The 22,936-nt window shown below is 32.2% G+C and overlaps 1 protein-coding gene across 8 annotated transcripts in view; it reads right to left on the bottom strand.

The window, feature by feature from the left end:
- Positions 1-285: 285 nt before the first annotated feature.
- Positions 286-22,936, bottom strand: part of CCSER1 (coiled-coil serine rich protein 1) — a 1,477,902-nt gene continuing 1,455,251 nt past the window's right edge. For all 8 annotated transcript variants that reach the window (XM_011531936.2, NM_001145065.2, XM_047415679.1 and 5 more), the window contains one exon: positions 286-7,009. In XM_011531936.2, the coding sequence (XP_011530238.1) occupies positions 6,524-7,009 (486 nt within the window). In that variant the 3' untranslated portion in view covers positions 286-6,523. The remainder of the gene's footprint in view (positions 7,010-22,936) is intronic.

The following is a 22,936-nucleotide window of genomic DNA, read 5'->3' as shown; positions in this document are numbered from 1 at the left end:
GTATATTCTTCTAATGGTCCCTGGGGACCATTGCATAGTATTGCTATATATCAGAAATTTTAAAAAGCCTGATGGTGAGGAAAGTAGAAATATAAATTGTGTCAACTAGCTGATGAAATAAGTGGCTGATTTGTCATTTTCCAATTGTCACAACCCTCAAGAACCTAGAAGTAAATCACAATGCTTTATGCCCAATATGAATGCATGTGTAACTCAATCTATCATCAAGACAAGTTCAAAACAAATTAATGTCATATTGAAAGCAATCAGGTACCACACAACTAATTTGTTGTTTTAAAATTTATTATGAGCAGGAAATATGCATATTTTTCTAATCACCATGCTTAAATATATCAATCTTTTCTTAGAATATTAACCAAATTGAGAAATTTTCATTAAATAAAAATCACTATTTTTCTTAGGAAATCAAGAGCCACAAAAAATTATACTACTGTATTCAATATTGCTAAAAATTTTAATTTCCAGGGTAATTTTCTATTTATTATCTTTCTCACTAAAGTTTTAGAGTTTTAGAGATGATGAATTAAAAAAACTATTATCAATGTTAATAATCTCAAACCCATATATCTAAGAATGTATCATACAGGGTGTATTTTTTCCTTAAAAATGGGGTCTAACTAAGATAATCAATTCTCTTGCATTCTTTTTTGGAAGAGAGAACTCATGACAGGATTACGTCTTATTCAGACATTATTTTGGTATATATAATTGACTACAAAATATAATACATTTTATTTAAAAATTTAGGACAAGTAAATTTGTATTCCTCATTTCACTTCAATTCCTTCTGAATAATTAAGCAAATTCTAAATCAGCTGTAATTTTAGTTCCTAGACAGGAATATCTAAAATATTTTTGTAAATATCTTGTTTTTTAAGTATGTATAAGGCAATACAAACAGGAATTTGATGATGTCTGTATCAATGTCCTATGAAGGAAAGATATAAGACAATCTGATAACTAGTTTATTTTTCATTTACTGTATGCTTTCCTTTTGTTAGACACTTCATTGGCCCTCTACTTTAAAAAATATAAAATCATTTCTTAGCATTTTTTCTAATTGCTTTCAAGAGAAGAAAATTAGAATGTCAGTTTTTCTGGGAGGTAACCTTGAAATAGAAGAGATGCCCTCTGAAAATTCTGTATTTATTAAATGTCAATAATTGTTTTAAAACTGCTTTTCAATGAACAGTATTTTGATTTCCTAAAATAGATCATTGCTTAATTTTTTGTCCCTAGCAATATCAATGGAAGTTTAGGAGTAAAGGAGATTGAAGCAGCACATGTTTGTTTAAATCACTCTGCCTCCTTAGGAGAGATCCTATTCTGGAGATAAGCATGATATAAATGGAAAGTTCAAGGGTTATTAAATCCAATTTAATTAAAAATGCATGTTGTGTGTCCTGGACAAGTTACCTAATGTCTCTGATCTAATCTACAAAAGAGTAAAACAATAATTACCTAACTAGTTATTGAAGTATGTGATTAGGGAAGTGGGCTCTTTGACCTGAAAATGAGTGCTATAAACTAAATTTTTATATCCCCCCCCAAATTCATATGTTGAAGCCCTAACCCCCAGTGTGATGGTGCTTGAAGTTGGGGCGCTTGGGAAGTAATTAGGTTTAGATGAGATTATGAGGGTGGGGCCCCCATGATGAAATTATTGTAGTTATTAGAAGAGGAAGAGGCCAGAGCCCTTTCTCCAACATGCAAATCAGGAAGCAGATCCTCACCAATAATTTATTCTGCCCCACCCTAATCTTAGACTTCCTAGCCTCCAGAACTTGAGACACAAGTGACTGTTGTTTAGTCACCCAGTCCATGGTATTTTGTTATAGCAACCCGAATTTACTAAAGAGGTAATGTTTGGAAAGAATGAAAGATGTAGGATGCTCCTATTCTTGAATTTTATGTTCAGGTGGAAGAAGTATGTATGTCGTATTAAATTGGAGAAGTTAATGAGGCTACACTGAAAATGCTCTAAAAAGAACCGTGGTATCCCATATTCTAGATCACTTACTCAAATGGAAGGAACCTACTCTCTATTAATGATTTTATTTCACCTTAACTATTTGTAGGAAATTCTCCACATCTTAAACAGAGTGAACTGCCTTCATTCTTTTCCATAGGTAATTCAACCACAGAGTGTTATCATCTTTTAACTTTTTGGTTTTGGGCTGCATGCCTTGGAAATAGAACTGGGGTCTTAACGAGATCAAATGTATTGTAAATAAATAGTTCATGGGTATGTATGCAGTTTAACATGGTGAAACAAGTTGGCACAGAACAAAATTTCAAAAATAAACATTTGGCAATGATGAATATTATTAAAGAAGAGAGCTGTTTTGTTTGGTTGCTTAGTTGACTGTTTGCTTTTATACTACAGTGTAATTCAGCTTTTTAAAAAAATGACCAGTCTTAACTGAAATCAGCCTTTTATAAGAACCAAAACTAGTTTGTATTTTATATTACGCCTTCTACAGCCTAGAGTTGTCATGATAAATTTACCACATGAGAAAGAAACAAGACATGTTTTAAAAAGCTTAAACTCTAGGAGAGGTAAATTTCCCAAGAATATTACATGTGATTGAAATACTTCTTATACAAAAATATATATATGCATATGAAAATACATAACAGGATCTGATAATAATGCCTAAATAAAGTCAAGTCTTAGATAGCAATCAAAATCCTGGTATAAATGAATGGGTGCTACATTTGAGCTAATATTATCAATAAGGGAAAAGCTTCTGATTATGGGGCATGTGATTCAGTAACATGAATGGCAATCATAGATATCATCTTCACATGTATTGCCCTTTCTTTTCTAGTTTCATCTGTGTGTATATGTTTCAATGGAATCTTAGGGTTATTTTGAACCACTTCCTTCTATAGCTGTTTAGAATGTTAAGTTCTGAAAGTGAAAAAGTAGTAAAAATTTAGATTATAATTATGAGATTATGCTAAGTATTCCAAATTATCCACTGCTATGGGTTACTATTTCTTTATAATGAGAAGCTGATGATGACGAATGATGTGCAGAGATAATCCTAACCATTCAGCAAACTGTTCCTACTGTTTAATCAACAACTAAGTTGCCAAGAAAGTTTTTGAGAGGGCTAGTGGAATGTAATCATTTATCCTGGGCATGTGAATCTTAAATATATCATAATAATTTTTAAAAACTTTTTTCTGGAGAGGGGTGTATGGTTATTATCTCTATTAAACAAGACAAAGAAAACAAAACAAAATGTGGAATTTCCTATAATGGGAGTTCAACATTCAGGAAATAATGACAATGAGTTAGGATTAAATCATAAACCCAGATTAATCATGAAAATCTTTGTAAACACTTTAAGTGGGGCAACTATGCCTACAAATTAATATTGGCTTACTATTTTATTTTCATGTCAATCATTAGATAACAAAAATAACTTGAATAACATGTGGCTCCAGGTTTTACCCTGACCGTATTGATAGTGGTGGATTCACATCTTTAGCATTGCAGCAACAGTTTCATGTTGTGATTTGAACAAAGACTATGGTGCTCCAAAGAAGCAAAAATAATTCGGGAGAGAATTCATAGTTTTGTGGTGACTCTCTTAGCATATAATTTTATGGAAAAAAATCATTGAGTTCATAGAAATACAGTTTCATGTTCCAATAATTATAAAAATGGGAACAGTTTATTTCAGGTGGAAACAGCTTTTCTTCAAGGTATTTCTCTTCCTAAGTGTTCCTTTAAAACACATTCTAAATTCAGAAGAGACAATTTGCAGCAGAAATTTTACAGGGTTATTTAGGCTTAGCTACACATACACATGCACAAAAGAAAGAGGAAAGAAAAGAAAAGACCACTGCTTCCATCAGAAAAACAAGCACTTTTTCCCCCTGGTGTCATGTCTTTGGATATGTACCGCCTTGGAGAAATGCATAAATCATTTTTATACATGGAACTGTCTTAGAAAACTAGAGATTTTAGTACAAAGAAAGCAATTCACTGAAAGAATGCCCACATGCCATTGTTATAAGTTACTATATATACACAAGAGGAACTTACAAAGAACCCCTGTTTTACAGTTACTGATGTACATTAGCATAGTGGGCTTACACCTTCTCCAGGCCTGAGTTACACTTAGTATTACAAATAATATTATAACAATGTTGAAAATACTGATACAAAACAGCTTTAAGATGATATTTCCAAAAAATACCCTTCCTTTTAAAATCGAACTGTTTAATCCAGGTTTTCTTTTGAATGATTCAGCTTTAAAAAAGATTTTTCAAGAAAATACTAGCGTTTAAAACATCTCTTAAAATGTCTATTAAATGACAGATCTTCTATAAATAGATTATTTTTATAAAGTATAATTCAAAAGTCTATCTTCCAGGAAAACAAAACTATCAACTCCAAAAGTCCAAATCAAAAACATTATTTGTGATACATAGTTCTTCCATATCCTGGGAAAAAATCCTTGATTATTTTATCATGCTTATTTATGTACAGATTTAAAATACTCTAGCAACAGACACCAACATTTAGGACAAATCAAGCTGAATTCCACAATTAATAATCATGATTTTTCTATTTTCCTATCATTTCTTAAATATTGCCCAGCCCAAAGTGTATATCTGCATGATCATTATAGCTTCCAAAGTATGGTGGGAACTTTAGATGGCAATCTCATTAAGTCAAGCAATTTGCAGTGTATATTGTTCTCTTTTGGCAGAATTACAAACACGCAAAGAAAGAAAACATTTGGCAAATGTCTGCCTTGATGCACATGTGTGTTCCTTTGGAAAACCAAAATTACAAGTACAACATATCCACTCGACTCCTTACTTTATCAGTTCCAATCTAAGTTTGCAAATGTATCAAAGTTCAGTAGTTAAAGCTCAGGGGTGGAGTGTCTAATGGCTTTTCCCCAAAGCACAGGGCACAAATACATTTTTATAATAGGAGATGCATTTTGCACACAGCTTTAATTTAAGCAAGTTGTCAGATGCCATGCTAAAACTGCTATCTCAATTTCCCTTTGTTCATCTTGCTTGTGCACGCTGACAGATTCTGTTAGAAAATGCAAGGGAAACAGATCATGCAGTAGGTATGACAGTTTCAATTTGCATGGACTATGGCTAATGTGGATGTACTTAACAGCTCTGATGTGTATAAGAAAACTGCAGCCTTGATTCCTATTAGTCTTTTAAAAATTATTTATTTATGTATTCAATTGTACTCTTTGATTCTGCTCTGCTACTAATTGAACATGATGGAATTATCCATAGATCAATTCATATATTGATCTAAAGTGCACATAAGTATATAACATATTATAACATATTTGGGCCTTATTTGTCAAAGAGAAATATTTGCCATCAAATGGGTTTTAAATATTCCTGTTAGAAGCTTATTTCTAAGATTAAATTGCCAATGTTCACATTTACTTTACTTTTGTTCCAAATCTAGATTTCTGCATAGTCAGAATATTGTATGCTGGCTACTAAAATACTGACTTTCTGTTCTTCAGTTCATAAAATTATAGATATGGGTTGATGTATATAAACCAAAATTGGATTTACATAAAAAAGAACATTTTAAAAAATAAGGAAAGTAAAGAAAAAGAATAATTTTCTTAGGATGTTTCATCCTTGAAATTTTGAAAAAATGTTTATATTGCCATGACAGTGGCTCAAAGAATATAGCATGTCAGTATTTATGCATCATCTGACAAAATTCAACCAACTTTATCACCTTGTGTTATGTCACGGTACTTCAACATCAATAACAAAAACTAAAAGCAAAATTTTTCAAAGATCAGAGCTGTCATTCTCTATTTGGCTAGCAATTACTCTGTCTGAAATCCTTTGTGAACTAGTATGAACTAAACGTTTAAAGGAAAAAAAATACAGCCATTTCCCCCTTACTAGTATCACAAGATGAGCTTGAATGTATGTAATAGAGACAAACACATCTCTAGGTTACATGCAAGCAAGCCACATTCTTCAAATAAATATACCACCAAATATAAGACGTTAACATTTCTCTTTTTTCCTCCTTCTATTAATTATATAATTTAAAATTCTTTATAATTCCTTTATCTATTTTTCATCAGGTCTACTTTTATAGTAACACCATTAACAGTGAACAGATTGCTATTTGATATTATCTTCTGAAACCTTAATGCATATCAGTAAGTGATAGAGATAAAAAATAAATAAATTATGGACTATATAAACGATCATGATGGTCCCATTTATTATACACCTATATAGTAAAGTCTTCAAGGCAATGCAACCTAGTTCAATTAACATGCTCAAACTTTCACTCTTGGAAAAAAAAAACCCACAAGTCTTTGTTTATGACTAAGAAAAAAAACCCAACAACACAACTCTGTTTATAACTAAAATGTAAGAAAAAGTACATGACAATTTTAATATGAACTATGCACGAGAAACACTAACCATCTTTATCCTACCCAAAGACAGGAATACGGTGATTTAATTACCCATCCTGCTGGCCTAGAGTTTGCAGCTCAGTGCTGTGTAAATTGTGGTGGAGAAACACATTCTTCCTGCTGTACATGTGTAAAGAGATTGGCCCTCTGGGTGGCTGTCCAAACCTGCCTGTAAAGGTCGAATGCTGTCGGGCCGTAGCAACTTGGTCCTTTGGTTTCTCTAAGAACGTGGAGAGCCCTTCTGTCTTAGCTGTTGGCTTCAGAGAGCTCTGCCCAACGGTGGCCCGTAAGTTCTGTGTAACGTCTGAAGTGAGGGTTTCATAAGTTCCTCTTGAATGTTTGATAACTTCTGCTAGTTCCTTGTCCTTCAGGAAATTACTTAAACAGAGACTTGGGAGTTGACAGGTCTTGTTTTTGTAGGGGCTTGTCTGGTCCGCTGCCGAATACCTAAAACGGTCCTCGGTGGGAGTATGTATTGCTTTTCTGTCCCTTGTGCTGAGATTTTGGCTCACAATTCGATTTCGATATGTAGCCTATGGTAAGACACAGAAAGAAAAAGATGTCTTAAAAAAACACTTTCATAGCATACATACAATACAGAGTGATATTTATACATTTGTGTCTGAACCCGTAAATTTTCAATGAGGTTTATAAAATTATCAATACAATTAACCATGGGATTAAATTTTCCGGTGCAATACTATTACAGATAGTGATTAAATGGTTAATTTACTCTAAAAGGCATTTTTATATTTGTTCATCTAATTTACTAAATTTGAATTATATAGCTTCACAGAAAATACAGATTATTTTATTAAGTAAAAGGTGATTTATATGATTTGAAGCGATACCAGAGTATGAAAATACAGATTATTTTAATAAGTGATGAATATAGACATATGAGGCCATTAGCTTTTGTTGGCTTAATATGCTATAGTTACTTAAATATATGTCCAGAGAGTTTATAGAATTATCAGTATCATGATTTGTATCACCAAAGTGGTAAGCAAGAAATTAAAGGAACTAAAAACACACAAGTAACTACAAGAATCTAAGAAGACCAATAGACCACTTATTAGAAATTTCAATACATGTTTCATTTAGACTTTTGGATGCAATTTATTAATCAAAATCAGGTCCACAAGTACATACCATCTTCTTGCTCATAAGAATTGTATACTCTAGTAATAACAAGGCATAGCTCATTGAATCATGCTGTGAAGAAGCAAAGATTACAAGCTAGCACCCATATTCCTCCTGAAGAGAGCACTATGTTTGTGTAGAAAAACACATTGAGGTAAAAACTGAGACTGGCTGGCTTAATTGTTCTGCATGCAAAAAATGAAGGATTTATTGTTGCTACAAAGAAAGAGGATAAAAATGAAGAGAAACAGACAAGGGAGAAGAGAGAAGAGCACTATAGATAGCTGCAGGCTCATTTGCTTATTTAGCCATCATCACTTTTTGTTTGATTAATATTACTTATATTAATATTACTAATTTGGCATAATATCAAACCAAACAAAATAAAACTTGATTCTCAACTGTGAAACTCATTCTTCCCCAAGAATTTCCCTTCTCAGTAAATGGCACCACATTCAGGCCAACACCTGAAAATTATTCTTTTCTCTTTTCTTCATACACCTTAAAATCAGGTCCTTGCTATTTACAAAATATAATCTCAAGTCATCCATTTCTCTTCATTTCTACTCTTTCTTCCTGACACAATTGCCTGGCACATATTAACCATTTAATAAATATTTGCTGAATAAAGTTTGAGATAATACATAATATTTATTGGGTGTGTATTTCCAACACTCTGCTATTGCTCTCATATATTCACTCTTCACAAGAGTCTTTTGAGGTAGTTTCTTTTATTCCCGTTATACAGACTGGAAAATTGTAGCACAGAGTTTGATTTTATCCTAAGCTAGTGTAGGACAGGCCGTCTGCTTGATTATCTACCAGTTCCTTCTTCCTCGAGTATTTCCATAGGAATTTTTCAAAACTTCATCACATTTTTCTAAAATTAATTACGTGCAGAAAAACATTGTAATATGAGCTGATGCCTCAAAATGATTATTATTGAAATAAGTCTCCCTCCTTTTCTTTTCTACAAAACAAAGACCCACTAGGCGTCCTTAAACTCAGTGATTTCAGAGGGAAGGATTTTGCTACTCAGGCCTTTCCTTTTTATTGTCTTGATGTCTGTGATGTCATCTTTCCTTTTTATTGTCTTGATGTTTGTGATGTCATCTTTACTTATTTATATTTTTGTGATAAGCTACTTACAGCAGACCCCCCTCTGTGAATTCTAATATGCTGTTTTAACTTTTCCTTAGATTTGGAGTAGACATAGGTAGGTTGGTAATTTGGTGTAGAAAGGAAACATTGTAAGACTCACAAGAGATGCCTCAGACTTTTTAGGAGTAAAAGGAATAAACTATTTTGATTCCATTTTCGTCATTTGGGAACTTGTCTAGCTCACTTTCTTCTTCTTGGCTCTTTCCCAATACTCTAGGCTATGGACCTATTAGAAATGTGATCTTTTCTTTTTCCTCCATCCCTGTAAACTTATATGTTTATTTAATTGTTACCAACCAACCCCCAAATCAACCTTGTGCTCAATATCTGTGGCCAAATGTTAGACATATCATGGGTGCTGCTTATGAAATATTGTGGAAAAAATTGGGGATGAATGCAACATTAATAAGTCCATAATGATAACACCAGTGGTTACATTTCTTTTTCATTTCTATTTCAACAGATGCTGCCTAGGAAAGTAGAAATGGTAGGAGTAGACTTCATTTCCACTATTTTAATATTACCTTTGAGGGAATATTCATTGTTTTCTTTATGTGATCATTTTAATTCTCCTGGCATATTATATTAAATTGAATATACAGTTTTAAAAAGACATATTGAAAAGGATCAAATAATTCAGTCACACAGGCAGCCTCAGCACCCCTTCTCTGGTACAGTATCTGGTACTTAGAAGGCACATGTGGATCTACTATCAAAAGAAGCAAGATGGGGCTTCTTACTCTCAATTTTTAAAGGAAAATACACATTTAAATCAACCATTTATGTTTATTTAGCATAGTTTGTTTTTGACATGTTAGTTTTTTTGCCCTTGGTTTTTTTTTTTTTTTTTTTTTTTTAAGTTCTCTGTGATATTTACTATTATCTCCAAAGCTCATAGTGGACATAGGAGATTGCATTGTGCAGGGGTTAATCATATGGGTAGGGTCAGATATATATGAATTCATTTATTCTTGTGATAAATATTTATTGGCCACACTGAGGACAAGGTGCTGCATACATCATGTGAAATAGGGCTGTTCATATAAGACCCAAATGCTACCTTAAGTCAGCTTCAAGTCAGACACTTTCTAGTTTAGTGAACATGGCAAGTTACCTAAGCTTCCTAAGCTGCCAATTTCCTCATCTGAGAAATGAAGTTTTATATTTATATCCATATCTTCATAAAGGATTATTACAAATATTTAATGACCTCCTTGATTATAAAATGCCTAATTACCTGGAATGTAGTTACCTTAATCACAACAATAATCATCATCATCACAGTAACAATATAATGTAACTAACAGACCTTGAAACTACTTTGAGAGGTATTTATTTCATCTTTTAGAACCTAATCACTTGGAACACTTTTATCTCTATTTTAAAAAGAAAGTCACTTTCTCTAGAAAATTCAAGTAATTTTATATTTATTGTTGTAGTTTGGTTCCACAGAACACAGACTGTGAGACAGATGTTTGTGAAATGTATTGGGGAGTGTTCTTAGGCCAACAACTATAGAGAATGAAGAAAGCAGAGTCAGGCAGAGTGAGAAATTAAATTCTGTGCAATTACACTATCTCGACTGATCACATAGGGAGGTCTGAATTTGGGATGGTTCTTAATAGTGGTCTCCAATTCAGGCAAGTCGGTGGGAGTCTTATATCCCATCATCCAGTTATTGGACATTGGCAGGCCCTGGGAAGGGCTATAGTATTGGATGAGTAGGTTTTTTTGGTTTTGCTTTTTTTTTTTAAGCAGAGAAATTATTGGAGAGAAATTTACTTGAGAGCTATCAGTTGCCAACACTCTCAGCAACAGGAAAAATTAAGACTTCAGTCTTGAAAGTGTATTTGTTTGAGGCAGAGAAAGGGAAAAGTAGGAGGCATATCATACCATACACTACACTAATTACCCTATTGTGTCTTTAGTATATTATAGGACAATTTGAGCTAATAGAAAGAACACTGAACCTGAAGCCAAAAGACTCTAGTTGTGCTACCATTGAACTGTGTAACATGGAATGAATAAATTAATTATTCTGGGCTTCAGTTTCTAAGTCCACTCACTGAATGAAATGAATAAAATGTAAGACAATAGAATTTAGATCTTGAAGAAACTCTAACAATCATTCAGTTGCTTTCCAATTCTAAAATTCTAGGTTTATTTTATGCTACATGTTTTGGAATATGTTTAGAAGTACATAGGAAACATCCTCTTAACACAAAATATTAAAATACATTTTGGCATATGCATTTGGATCGGAAGGATGGGAATCTAAGATAGATAGATATAGATAGATCTGATTTGGGTATATATATATGTATATATATGTATATATGTGTGTATATATATGTATATATGTGTGTATATGTATATATGTATATATATGTGTATATATGTGTATATATGTATATATGTGTGTATATATATGTGTATATATATGTGTATATATATGTATATATATGTGTGTACATATATGTATATATACACATATACATATACATATATACACACATATATATATATATGGATTTGGTTGCCTTGGCCCAGAGGAAAATAATTTCCATATTATGATGTTAACCAATGTTTATTACCTCTGAAGAATTTGAGATCCCTGAAGGTAATTTTAATGCATGTGTCTAGCCACATCTTTCTCAAAATCAGAATTAAGCCTCCTGAAACTCATGTAATTATGTCAGATTCTGCGCAATTTAGTTGTCATGCAGCTAGCTTATTACCTATCCATAGAATTCCTAATGAGGATGAAAGGATGGAAAATCTAGTGATTAATCAGTCGACTGTGCACATTATAATAAGTTCATTGTTACCTTTTAATTGTCTTCCTCTCATTTCTTTACAATAGCATATAGCCTGTATTTCATCAAATGCAAGAAAATACTAATTTTAAAACATATTATTATTTAATACACCACTAAGAAATGAAAAACAAAACACCTGATGCTGATTTAAAACAAATAAACCACATTCACTTATTTCAGCCTGTGTGATCCATTAGTAAGTCACACCAGCCTCTCATTGCAATTTATTTTGTGTTCAGTTGCCTTGTTTGGCATTTGACAGACAGTCCTTTTGCATTTTTCTCAATGATTCAGTGTCATCCACACATAGGTATATTCCCTCTCTAGATTTTATAAAGCATTGGGTTTTTACTTAAGAAAAAAGCATGGGGGCTGGGCGCTGTGGCTCACGCCTGTAATCCCAGCACTTTGGGAGGCCGAGGTGGGCGGATCACGAGGTCAAGAGATCAAGACCATCCTGGCCAACATGGTGAAACCCTGTCTGTACTAAAAAAAAAAAAAAAAAAAAAAAAAAGCACGGGGTTGAAAACAAGACAGTTAAAAATATTTATTTCATTAATATTAAAATTATACCCTGTTTTTTTCCTTGGCTTTCTGTATACAAAATTATTTTTCTTATAACATCAAGTACAGTAAGCTGTTAGAAAACATTCTTTAGTAACAAATGTAGCACCAACATTGCATATAACTCAATTAAAGAAAGGCAAATATGAAGCTATGATACAATACACATTGCACGGGCAATTTAAACTGCATTACAACTGCAACCTGGTTAAAAGCATTGATTGTAAAATGAAACCTGATATTTAGGGATTCTATTATATTAAAAACTTGTCTCTTGGTGAAAAACAGAAATACAATAATCATGCCAATGTGCAAAGCCAAAATTTGTTAAGGCTGGATGATGTGATGATAGAATTTATGGGGGAGGGGAGAAATACTTCAATCACTGATTAATGAACGTTTAATAATGTTTTATTTTTTCTGAAGTTCTTTTCCTTGTTTTGTAAAAATTATTGGTAGTTGCCATGAATGTTATCAGGCAAAATTATTCTGTTATAATTGCTTGCATACATAAGAACTCTGCACATGATTATTTTCATTGACTTTAAAATATATTTTTCCTGCAAATGTTCTCCACTTAACAAAAAAAAAATATTGCTTTACAACAAGAATTGTTCTTAAAGGAATAGAGAAACTTGAAACAATCCCCCAATAGCCATCTAGGAAAACTGGTATTATACTTAGAAAAATAACTAATGTTAAACAGAATTTAAAAATATTTGAAAGATTAATGAAAATATCAACATTATAATGTGAATTCAATTGAAAGAGTAGATAAATATTAAATTATGTTAAAGTGAATCAGAATTATTCTTGGTTACAGTTCTTGTAGTAGAAGCTAAGTAGTAACTTTTGTATGGATAATTCACACTGAGAAATGTGTCTTCTGAATAAGTTCATGGTTTCCTATTAATGAGACCTGCAGGTTAAGATACACAATGAGAATACCATATATTTTATTTCCAAGAATAGACACATTTACCTCTGCCCATTACAGTACCCAGGTGATATGGTTTGTCTGTGTCCCCAGCCAAATCTCATCTTGAGTTGTAGTTCCCGTAATCCCCACATGTCATGGGAGAGACTCTGGCAGTTACCCCCATGCTGCTATTCTCATGGCAGTGAATGAGTTCTCACGAGATCAGATAGTTTTATAAGAGGTTTCTCCCCTTTGCTCAGCAATTCTTCCTGCCATCATATGAAGAAGGACGTATTTGCTTCCCCTTCCACCGTGATTGTAAGTAAGTTTTCTAAGTCAAGTATGTCTTCATTAGCAATGTGAGAGTGGACTAACACACCAGGTCAAATAGAATGTAAGTTGCATAAGGGTAGGGACTCTGCCTGTCTTGTTCAATGCTGAATACACATGTCCTACCAGTACCTGGCATTTACTGAGAACTCCATTAATATTTATACAGTCTGGAAAATAATCTACTGGACTTTCCTTATTAAAATGGCTTATTTAACAGATCTTTCAAAACCACCAAAGCAATATGACATTATATCTACAGCATTAGATATCAAAGCAAATGAAAAAAAATCAATTTCAGTGTATTTTGTCAATACTGTAGAAAATGAATTGAAAGGGAGATATTGTATGGCTGCAATTTTTAACTGCTGCCCGGCCCCATTGTGTAAACATAAATGGTGGGTACATACATCTTTGGGTAAAATCCAGAGCTATAAAAATACTCGCATTAAAATATGTTTCACTCAACTCCTTTATCTTCTATTTATGTAAATATTTTAACTTCTGAAATACAAATGACAGTGGTCATAATATTATCTAATTTATAAAAATAAAAAATTTTGGTAATTTAGTAGTAGTAGCAAGATATTCCTTAGAATAAAAACTCAGCAACTGACTGACCCATTTGACACTGGTCTAGTTGCTTGGAGACTGATTGAGTAGATCACTTTATTATTTCAGAAAATAAATGATGAATGTATAAGCTGAGGCATTATAAACAAAACAAATGACAGAATACACTCTATAATACATATATTAATTTAATTAATTACAAATACATCAACATAGAAACATGCAATGCTGTGATATCAAGAAGCCATTGTCCCTATACTGGTAAATATAATTACATGTAAGAAAAGTGCTTTGAATAAAAGCACGTATGAATATTATTACTCACTGAATAAAATATTGAAATTTATAAATAAATCTTAAATGTAAATAAGCATTTTCATTTTATGTACTGTATGTTTAAGTATGTATTACTTATTGCCTTGTTTTTGGGACCATCATGTACATTGCAGGATGTTAGTAGCATCCTTGTCCTGTACCTACAGAAGCCAGGGTACCTCTCTGTCACCCAGTTGTGACAACTAAAAATGTCTCCATACATTGCCAAATGTCCCCAAGGGGTGGGGGATGGCAGCAAAATTGCCCCCAGTTGAGAACCACTGCCCTAAACTACAATGCTTCCTTAAATTAAACAGATAAAAATGATCAGTGATATACATATCAAGAAAGAAAACCATTATACATACATTTCTATCCTTTTATCATTTATAGCCATTATGAGAGTGAAATTAAGCCTTTATAATTAATTTTTATGTTACTTAGTTTGCAAACACATATAATCCTTATTATATACCAGGCATTCTTCTGGGCCCTTATAATTATTAATTTTAAAAAATATCATCTCCTTTACTAAATCAATCCAACGTAGTAATACACAATGAAAGCATTTAAAAACTACTTAAAAAGTAAATGCTCCTTTTGATATATCACGACACAATGTGTTGATGTAAAGTAAACAGGCACTCCTAAAATGTGCGTCTTTCTCAAGTACAATCATTAAAGGGCCAATGTAGACTCAAACCAAATTTAAAAATAACAGGCTGCCCTTTTCCTGTCATCACTGAGAAATAGAAGTTCTCTTCAAAAGGTTTTGGCACCATTGCTGTGTCTGTTTGTAGCCTTAGACGTGGAATCTGTTTTCAGTGATAAAGAGTTCTGTTAAAGGTCTAGGAAACACTCTACTACAGAGAGACTGTGTAAAGAAGTAGTTACTGCTTTGCAAGCAGGAAGCCCTGTAATAAGTTGATGTAATAACCGAAAAGAAACATCAAAAGGTTCTGGCAGACAGGACCTGATTTTTTTTCAGATTGCACAAATTACCAAGAGGTGTGGAATGGTGCACATTGTCCAGAGTTAAACTACTTCTTCTGGTTCAACCTCGCTTCTAAATTCTTTAGGGTATACTAAATTCTACTGGTGGGCATTTAGGACACAAACAGGGTTAGAAGACATGCATGAGATAAGCAAGGTGAATGCTAATAAGGCCAGCAGAGCTCCCAAGAGAGTAAAATCACAGCACCTCTCTCTCTTCAAAGGACAAGTGAAAACATACAACAGTTTTCCCAGAAGCCACTAGGCATATGTTTTGACTGTTCTGTTTATAATTAGAGTAAATGAACTCTAGGCAGAACCAAATCTTGTAGAACAGTAAGTTGTCTTTAACACTAATGTATGTGTGAGAGAGTGTGTGTGTGTGTATATGTGTGATCACCCACTCTGTGTCAGTAATTCTCCTTAGTTAAAAGGTGATTTAAATGAGAATTTCAGACAATTATTGCTTATAAAAGCAATAACAGGAGTGTGATTAAGGACTCAATTCAGAAGACATCTATGAAAATATAATTCTGCACAACTGGTATTCCAGAAATATGTGATTTCTAAATAAAAGAATGAGTTAAAGATTTAAGTTAAATTTATATGCTAGAGGGAAAGGAGTGGAGAATAATTTTCTGTATTTGCATAGGAATGCAGAAAAGTGAACAATTGTAGTGGCTTAGTATAGCAAAACATAAAAAAAAAAAAAAGAGCCTCTTGTCTAGACACCCTGCTGCCCAACACCTAGCACATATTATGTAATAAAATGCTTCTTGAATGAGAATAGTATTTAATAATCTTAAAAAAATCTTTAGATTCACATAATGTCTCGTGTGAATAATTCATAGACTTTATAGCCAATCGCTGTGGCTTTATGTGGTAGAAATTCTGGAGTCCAATAAATGCATAAACAAATATATTGTATATCATTAAATTAAGAATCAAACTTATTTTTCATCCTTTTTTAGTCCTTATTAGCATGATTAAATAATGTGAGCCCTAAATTTCTTGCTTAAATGATTCTATCTTACAAGTAATTTTACTCTGTATGCTCTCCTTGGAAACTTCTAAAAGTAACGTATTTACCTAATCTAAGAGATAATATGAGCAAGGAAGTGAAATAAAAATACAGTAATTTCATAATATCAATGTGTTGTTTTATATCAGTATAATGTAATGCAAACTACTTTTAGGAATAAGCTTGACCCACTGATAAAGTCAATATATTACTAAATACATAGCAAATTTTGGAGGATAGTACAAACAATACAAGTAATTTCAGAATTCCATCTGTCATATACTGTAAAATATTATAAATGGCTTTCATACAAACTATCCCAATTTATTCTTGTAAATGTACATTAAGATAGATTAGTTTTGGATGCCTTACTTCAAAGGCATTTTTATACATGGAAAGCTGAGGCTCTTACTAATAATTGATTTAATAATTGACATAAGTTATGTTTTCCTTCAGCAACATGCACAATTCTGGGTTGAACAAATGTCATTTAAGGAAATTCAGGGGACATACACAAGGCAATGATGTGACAAATAATAAGAACCTACATTTTCTGCACGATGGTTTGGTGAACATAATACTACTTGAACGTCCTTCAAAGAATTTAAAACATCAAAAGAATACTGCTAACATATATAGAAAAGAATACTGCTAACATATATAGAAATATAAACATACAGAATAGCTGGGAATTGAAGTAATATCCACCTAATTTTTTGAAATTCTTTCACATAGTATAAATAAGGAATAAGACACAGCAGGGAATTAATTATAGTACAAAAAGTTATGGTCAGAATATCATTACATACAAGTTAGAACCAATTTTTAAAGAAGCATAGAATTTCAAAAATACATTCTTTTGCTGTATAAAGAGTTGAGCCTTAGAGATAAGAGGCTTATTTAATAATAGCAATTTTTCAAATAGCCAACCACTTTTTTCCTACTTAGGATGAGTTTATGAGTGTTAGAAACACTTACTATAGAGTGAAAAAAAAATCTAAGGCTATTTTTTTTCTTTTTGAAAAGCTGCTTTATCAAAGCAAATCATTTTCTTTGCAAACTCAGAGTAGTCGCAAAAAGTCTGCTAACAAAGAGAAAACAGATGGGCCACCAGCTTCAAAGTTAGTCATCCTTAAAAAGATCTAAAATTGATTTTTAAATAGAAAAAAAATCAACAAAGCACAAAATATAATGAGAGTCAGATGAAGCTTACAATTGCAAAGATCTAAAATAATTGTCAATTATTTTCATTTTATTGTCAATTATTTTCATTTTATTAATATCTTAACTTCTTGCTCACTGAAAATATAAATATTTTTATTTTTTGATATAATATTAATTCAAGATTCAAGAGAGGCTTTAAAGTTAATGTATTTTAATACCTTGATTTTATAAGGAAACTGACTAGAGAGACTGTGTGACTTGCCTTAGATTATAAAGATTGTTAATGGTAAAGGCAACAACCAATTCAAGATTTTCTAAAGCAGTGTTTAATATTTCCATACAGAACCTATCACCTTTCATTTTCATGCATAGACACAAGATCTGCATTCGATGTAAGAAAAACAACATCCAAAAGATTTTTGCTGGAATATTTAATTGTACATGCCAGCCATTTTGTTATATTTCGGCAAATCTCATGAACGATGGATATGCAGAAATTATATCTGTTACGTTTACGGAATAAAAAGGATGGATAAATAGAAAAATTCTTAGAGTAGAATGTGGAAGATATTTTGTGCTGTGTTACTGAGAAATGAAGATCAAGAAGTAAGCATTTGATGATAAAGTCAACATATATATGTCTGATCTTTGCTAGGTATGCTGTGCTACAATAGGCTGCAGTTAAAAGGAAAGACATGGTAATAAGATATTGGCTTAGGATAGATCTGGATTCCCCAGATTGAAGTTTTCTAAAAGCAGAAGGAATAAGTCTTCCCTGTCTACACAGGTGATGTCTTCTGTATTTTCAACAGAGACTATGTTGAAAGGTCCTGATGTTGGAATTATAAGGCTAAGGTGAATCCAAATGATGGTCACAGAGGTGGTAGTTATCTCTCTAACATCAAGACAAATTGGCAGATACTAACATAGGTACCAAATGAATTCTCTAAGAAATCAACTCTATAGATTGTGTGTTATGTTGAGTATACTGGGCAATTTCCCACAAATAACTGTGAGAGAAGAGGTATCTGAGGAGTGTCAAAATCTAAAACTAGTCCTAATAAAAGAGATTGCATCTCCCATGCTAAGTTTATTAATATTTTTCATTCTCTGTGGTTCTTTCTTCACTATTTATTATTTCATTCATTCATATCTATTCATTATTATGGAATACCCACAAAATATAAATACAATGAGTGATTCAAATAAACTAAGTATGCAATATTACCCCCAAGAACTTACTTTTACTTAAGGAACTAGACTACTATAAATAAAAATCAAAAGAGCAAAATGAAGCCACTAAAACAACAATATCGTATCTTAAGTCATGACCAGATTTAGTGAAAAATGTGTGGTACAACATAATTTCTAAGCATGAAACAGAGCTTTTAAAAGAATTGCCTTCTTTGGTTGCTTCAGTTTCTCACCATCACCCCTACCTTGTTCATCATCCCACTGCAATTTGGCTTTTGCTCTTGAAAATCTCTAAGTTGTCAAGTAAAATGGATACTTGTCAGTTTATACATTTTCTTTACACATTAAGAGGCATTTTAATGGAGTTCAGCACTTTCATTTTGAATTCCATTATCAGTTGGTATTTGTGACATTTCACGCTCCTGGTGCCTCTCCTGTTTCTCTGGTCACAACTACTCAATATCCTTTGCTGGGCACTTTTCCAACTAAACGCTTGGGTCTTGATGGCATGGTCCAGATTCATTTCACTCTCCTAAGGAAATCTCATCCATTCACATAACTTTAAACATACCAACTTCATGTGAACAACTCTTAACTTATTTGCTTTAATCTAAACTTCTTTTAATTTTCATTCGTGTATCTACCTCCATGACTTTTTTACTGGTATCTCAATCTTATTTTTTTCTAACTAAACTCATAATAATTGCATCATGTCTGGTTTTCATCTTAATACTTCAGTAACATTTGTTGAACAAATAAATGAGTGGAGACCACAAAGAAACTCTGAAGTTGTAGTTGATGCATTCTCCTTCTACCTCTACACTCTATCACTAGTTGACAGCGATTCTATTTATATTCTGCCCACTACTCTCCACCTCCATCCCTCTAGTTCAACACCATTATCTTGTACTACTTTATCCACTATTTTGTGCCTTCACACATATGCCACAAAAGAGGGATAATTTTTTAATGCAAATTTAATCATGCCATTGACCTTCTTATTTTCTTTCAATACCTTCCTACTGAATTTCAAGAAGATAAATATTCTTGTAATGGCCTACATCACTCTGAATGATCTAGCTCCCTCTTTAATTCCTTCCTAGGACAATTTTTTCTTTAATCATTGGGTTTCTAGCAACATTAGCCATCTTTGAGTTTCTTAAACATGAAAAACTTTCTCCTTCCTTAGGTCTTTTAGGTCCTTTACGCTTTTAGCCTCTATCTGGAATGTTCTTCCCTTCATTTTTACCTGACAGGTAACTCAGTCCCTAGAAAATTTTAAGCCTTTTCACAACCCAGAATTTAATTCAAATTATACTATTTTAAACCTTCCAAATGCAAACACAACCTATACATTCTCTTTATAGCAATTGTCCTATACATATGTATGTATATACATACATATAATGCATTTATTTGTTTAATGCCTATCACTAATTTAGACAGTGTGCTCTGTGAAAGCAAGAATTGTGTCAAATTTTTCTCCCAGCATTTACCTTAGTTTCTGATATAAAGTAAGTGTTTGACAAACATTTGTTGAAGATGAGTGAAAAAAGGAAGGGATTGAGTGAAATGGGGAAAAGAGAGAAGGATCATATATGGGGCTATCTCAACTAAATCCTTCAGAGTGACTATATCTTGGATTACTGAAAAGTCAGAAAGGCATCCTGGGCATCACGAATAAGGAGTAAGTATATATTTATGAGACCTATTCTGAGAACTACTAGTATTAAACTTACTTGCTAAGGTGAAGTAGGATGTTTACATAGAAATAAATGGATCAAGAAAATTTTGTGTATGTAAGTTGTCTACATTGTTTAAGTTTTTGGCTGCTAATTTAAAGAGTGAAATTTTAAATCAAATGAAGGTCAATTAAAGGTTTATGATGAGGTAAGTGACATGACAAAGCAGTATTTTAGAAAGGTTACATAATTGGGAATTAATCAGTTCAAGGTAAAAATACATAATAAAAGGCAATTCAGAATGCATACACTTGTTAAGAATGAAGGAAGACATGTGTCACAAACAGTGGTTATAATTAAAGTTCCATATTATAGTAATTCAGATGTCTCACATAATAGGCAAGAAGAAAATTTTTAAGGCTCTGAAAAAAATGCAAAACAATAATTTTTAATAACAATGTTTATATAGTTAAAATACAAATAAAACCTGAAGAAAAATATATAGACTTCAAATCAATTTTAATTTTATATAGTAAAAATATTAACATGTTGAATTTATAATTAACATACTTTAGGACCAATCAAAATGTATTTAATTTTTTTCACAGGATTTATGTAAAACAAAACTTTTACTAGTATTTCCCTAAAATATGAACAAATGATGAAACATTTTGAGGTTAATACTGTTTCTAAATTTTCCCTAGGATATTTTTATTTAGAAAAGTCTATTGATATAAAAGTGATCTACTGCACAGCATCAGGGTGTTTTTTACTGGATCCTATGCTCAGGGTCTCACCAATATGAAATAAATGCCTCCAAAAACAATTTATACTACCTCAGTGAGAATGATTTTCCTGTATCCATCCAAATGAGTCTGAGAAACCATGCCTCTTCATAGACAATCTAATACATCTAGTCCAAAGAGCCTCAAATATTTTCTCTTGAAATTTATTTTTTCTCTGAAAACTGAGAATCTACTGACTGGGCATGGGGATGAGTGATAGAGAATTATGCCTCCAGACCCTCAAATGCAACTACGTAGGTGAAAGCAGATCATGGTAGCTCTGGTTCTGGCATTTAGTAGTTATTTGTTGAACTTGTATCTGTTGAACAAAAAATGAATAAAGAGGTCACCAGCTTTCCCAGTACCTACTTTTTAAAAATAATTTTAATTTACTATATAATATCTCAGACAATTTTAAAAGAATGCAGATTGCTAACAAAGCATGCTGTGAACATTTTGTAAGGAAACAAACAAAGCTGTACAGCATTCTAGTATCCAGAATGTTTCAAAACATCATTTTGTAGAATCCTCCTTAGTCCTCACTTCATCTGGCCAACAATATGTCCTTTTCAAGTTCATCCCTAAAATCTAAAGAGCTGTATAAAGTTGCAGCCATCCTTTAAAGCAGAGGGCATATGACACTTTTTCCATCTCTTCTATCTCACAGGAGACATCTGATCTATCAAAATAATTGTTTAAAACTTTGTATAGTTCTTATATAAAAACATGCATAATATTTGTACTACTTAGTGTAATGCACAAGAAGAAGGCAAGACATCATGAAAAACCAAAACTCCACTAGTCTATTCAAGCAAGAAGCTTAGAAGTCAATTATTGCATATCCCAATAATCAAGATGCTTTAAACTTTTATTTTCAAATGTCAAGGAACTCTATAGAAAATCTGCGTGTGTCCTTAGAGTAGTACACCTTGTTTTAACTCAGAACATATCATAATTAGCACCATCTACTCAGGAGTGGAAGGAAACAACCCTTGAATGAAGACAGCTCAGATATAATTCACACAGAACCATAAGGAGATAGATGCAATTTATAAATGCTGGACAAGAAGAATTTAAAAAAGAATGAAGCTATTTCTAGATAATACATACTTAGGAACAATTTTTTTTGCATAGCATATTATAGAGAAATACTGATTATTTTATTAAATTGATTTAAAGTTGCTATATAAAAACTTTCTATTTGAATATGTTCAAATAGAAAAAATGTGTGCTAGGGATATAAGAACACAATAAATATAATCAGAGATTGTGTTACAAAAGAGTACATTAAAAAGGATTTATTCTCATAGCCACACTTGACTCCAAATATTTACAAATTCCTCAATAAAAGTGAGAAATTTATCAGTGGCTCCAACTGTATGTTAGTCATGGCTTTCATATATAGTTTAGGCTTAAGTGGACTATACAACGATATACAGTATGGGATTAGTCATTCTGGAGCATTCAGTTTGCTATCTTTAGCTCTAAGAAATTAGTTCTAAAATTTTCTCATAAGTAAAAATTACCTTATGATCAGTTGAAATAAATATTTATGGGACCATAGAAGTGACTCAATAGTTTTGCAGTTGGGCTCAGAATTCTTGAATTATAACATGCATGTCATATGTTCCTAAGACAAGCAGTATACTGTAAGATGAATGTTTCCCTAAGGTAAATAATCCCATCAGAGATGATAGATTGATTGATTGATAGACAGATAAAAGATAGATATTAGGTTGGTGCAAAAGTAACTGCATTTTTGCCATGAAAAGTAATGAAAAAACCACAATTACTTTT

The sequence above is a fragment of the Homo sapiens genome, chromosome 4, assembly GCF_000001405.40.
Source record: "Homo sapiens chromosome 4, GRCh38.p14 Primary Assembly".
In the NCBI taxonomy this organism is placed as follows: Eukaryota; Metazoa; Chordata; class Mammalia; order Primates; family Hominidae; genus Homo; species Homo sapiens.
This window is presented reverse-complemented; position numbering and strand designations above follow the sequence as displayed.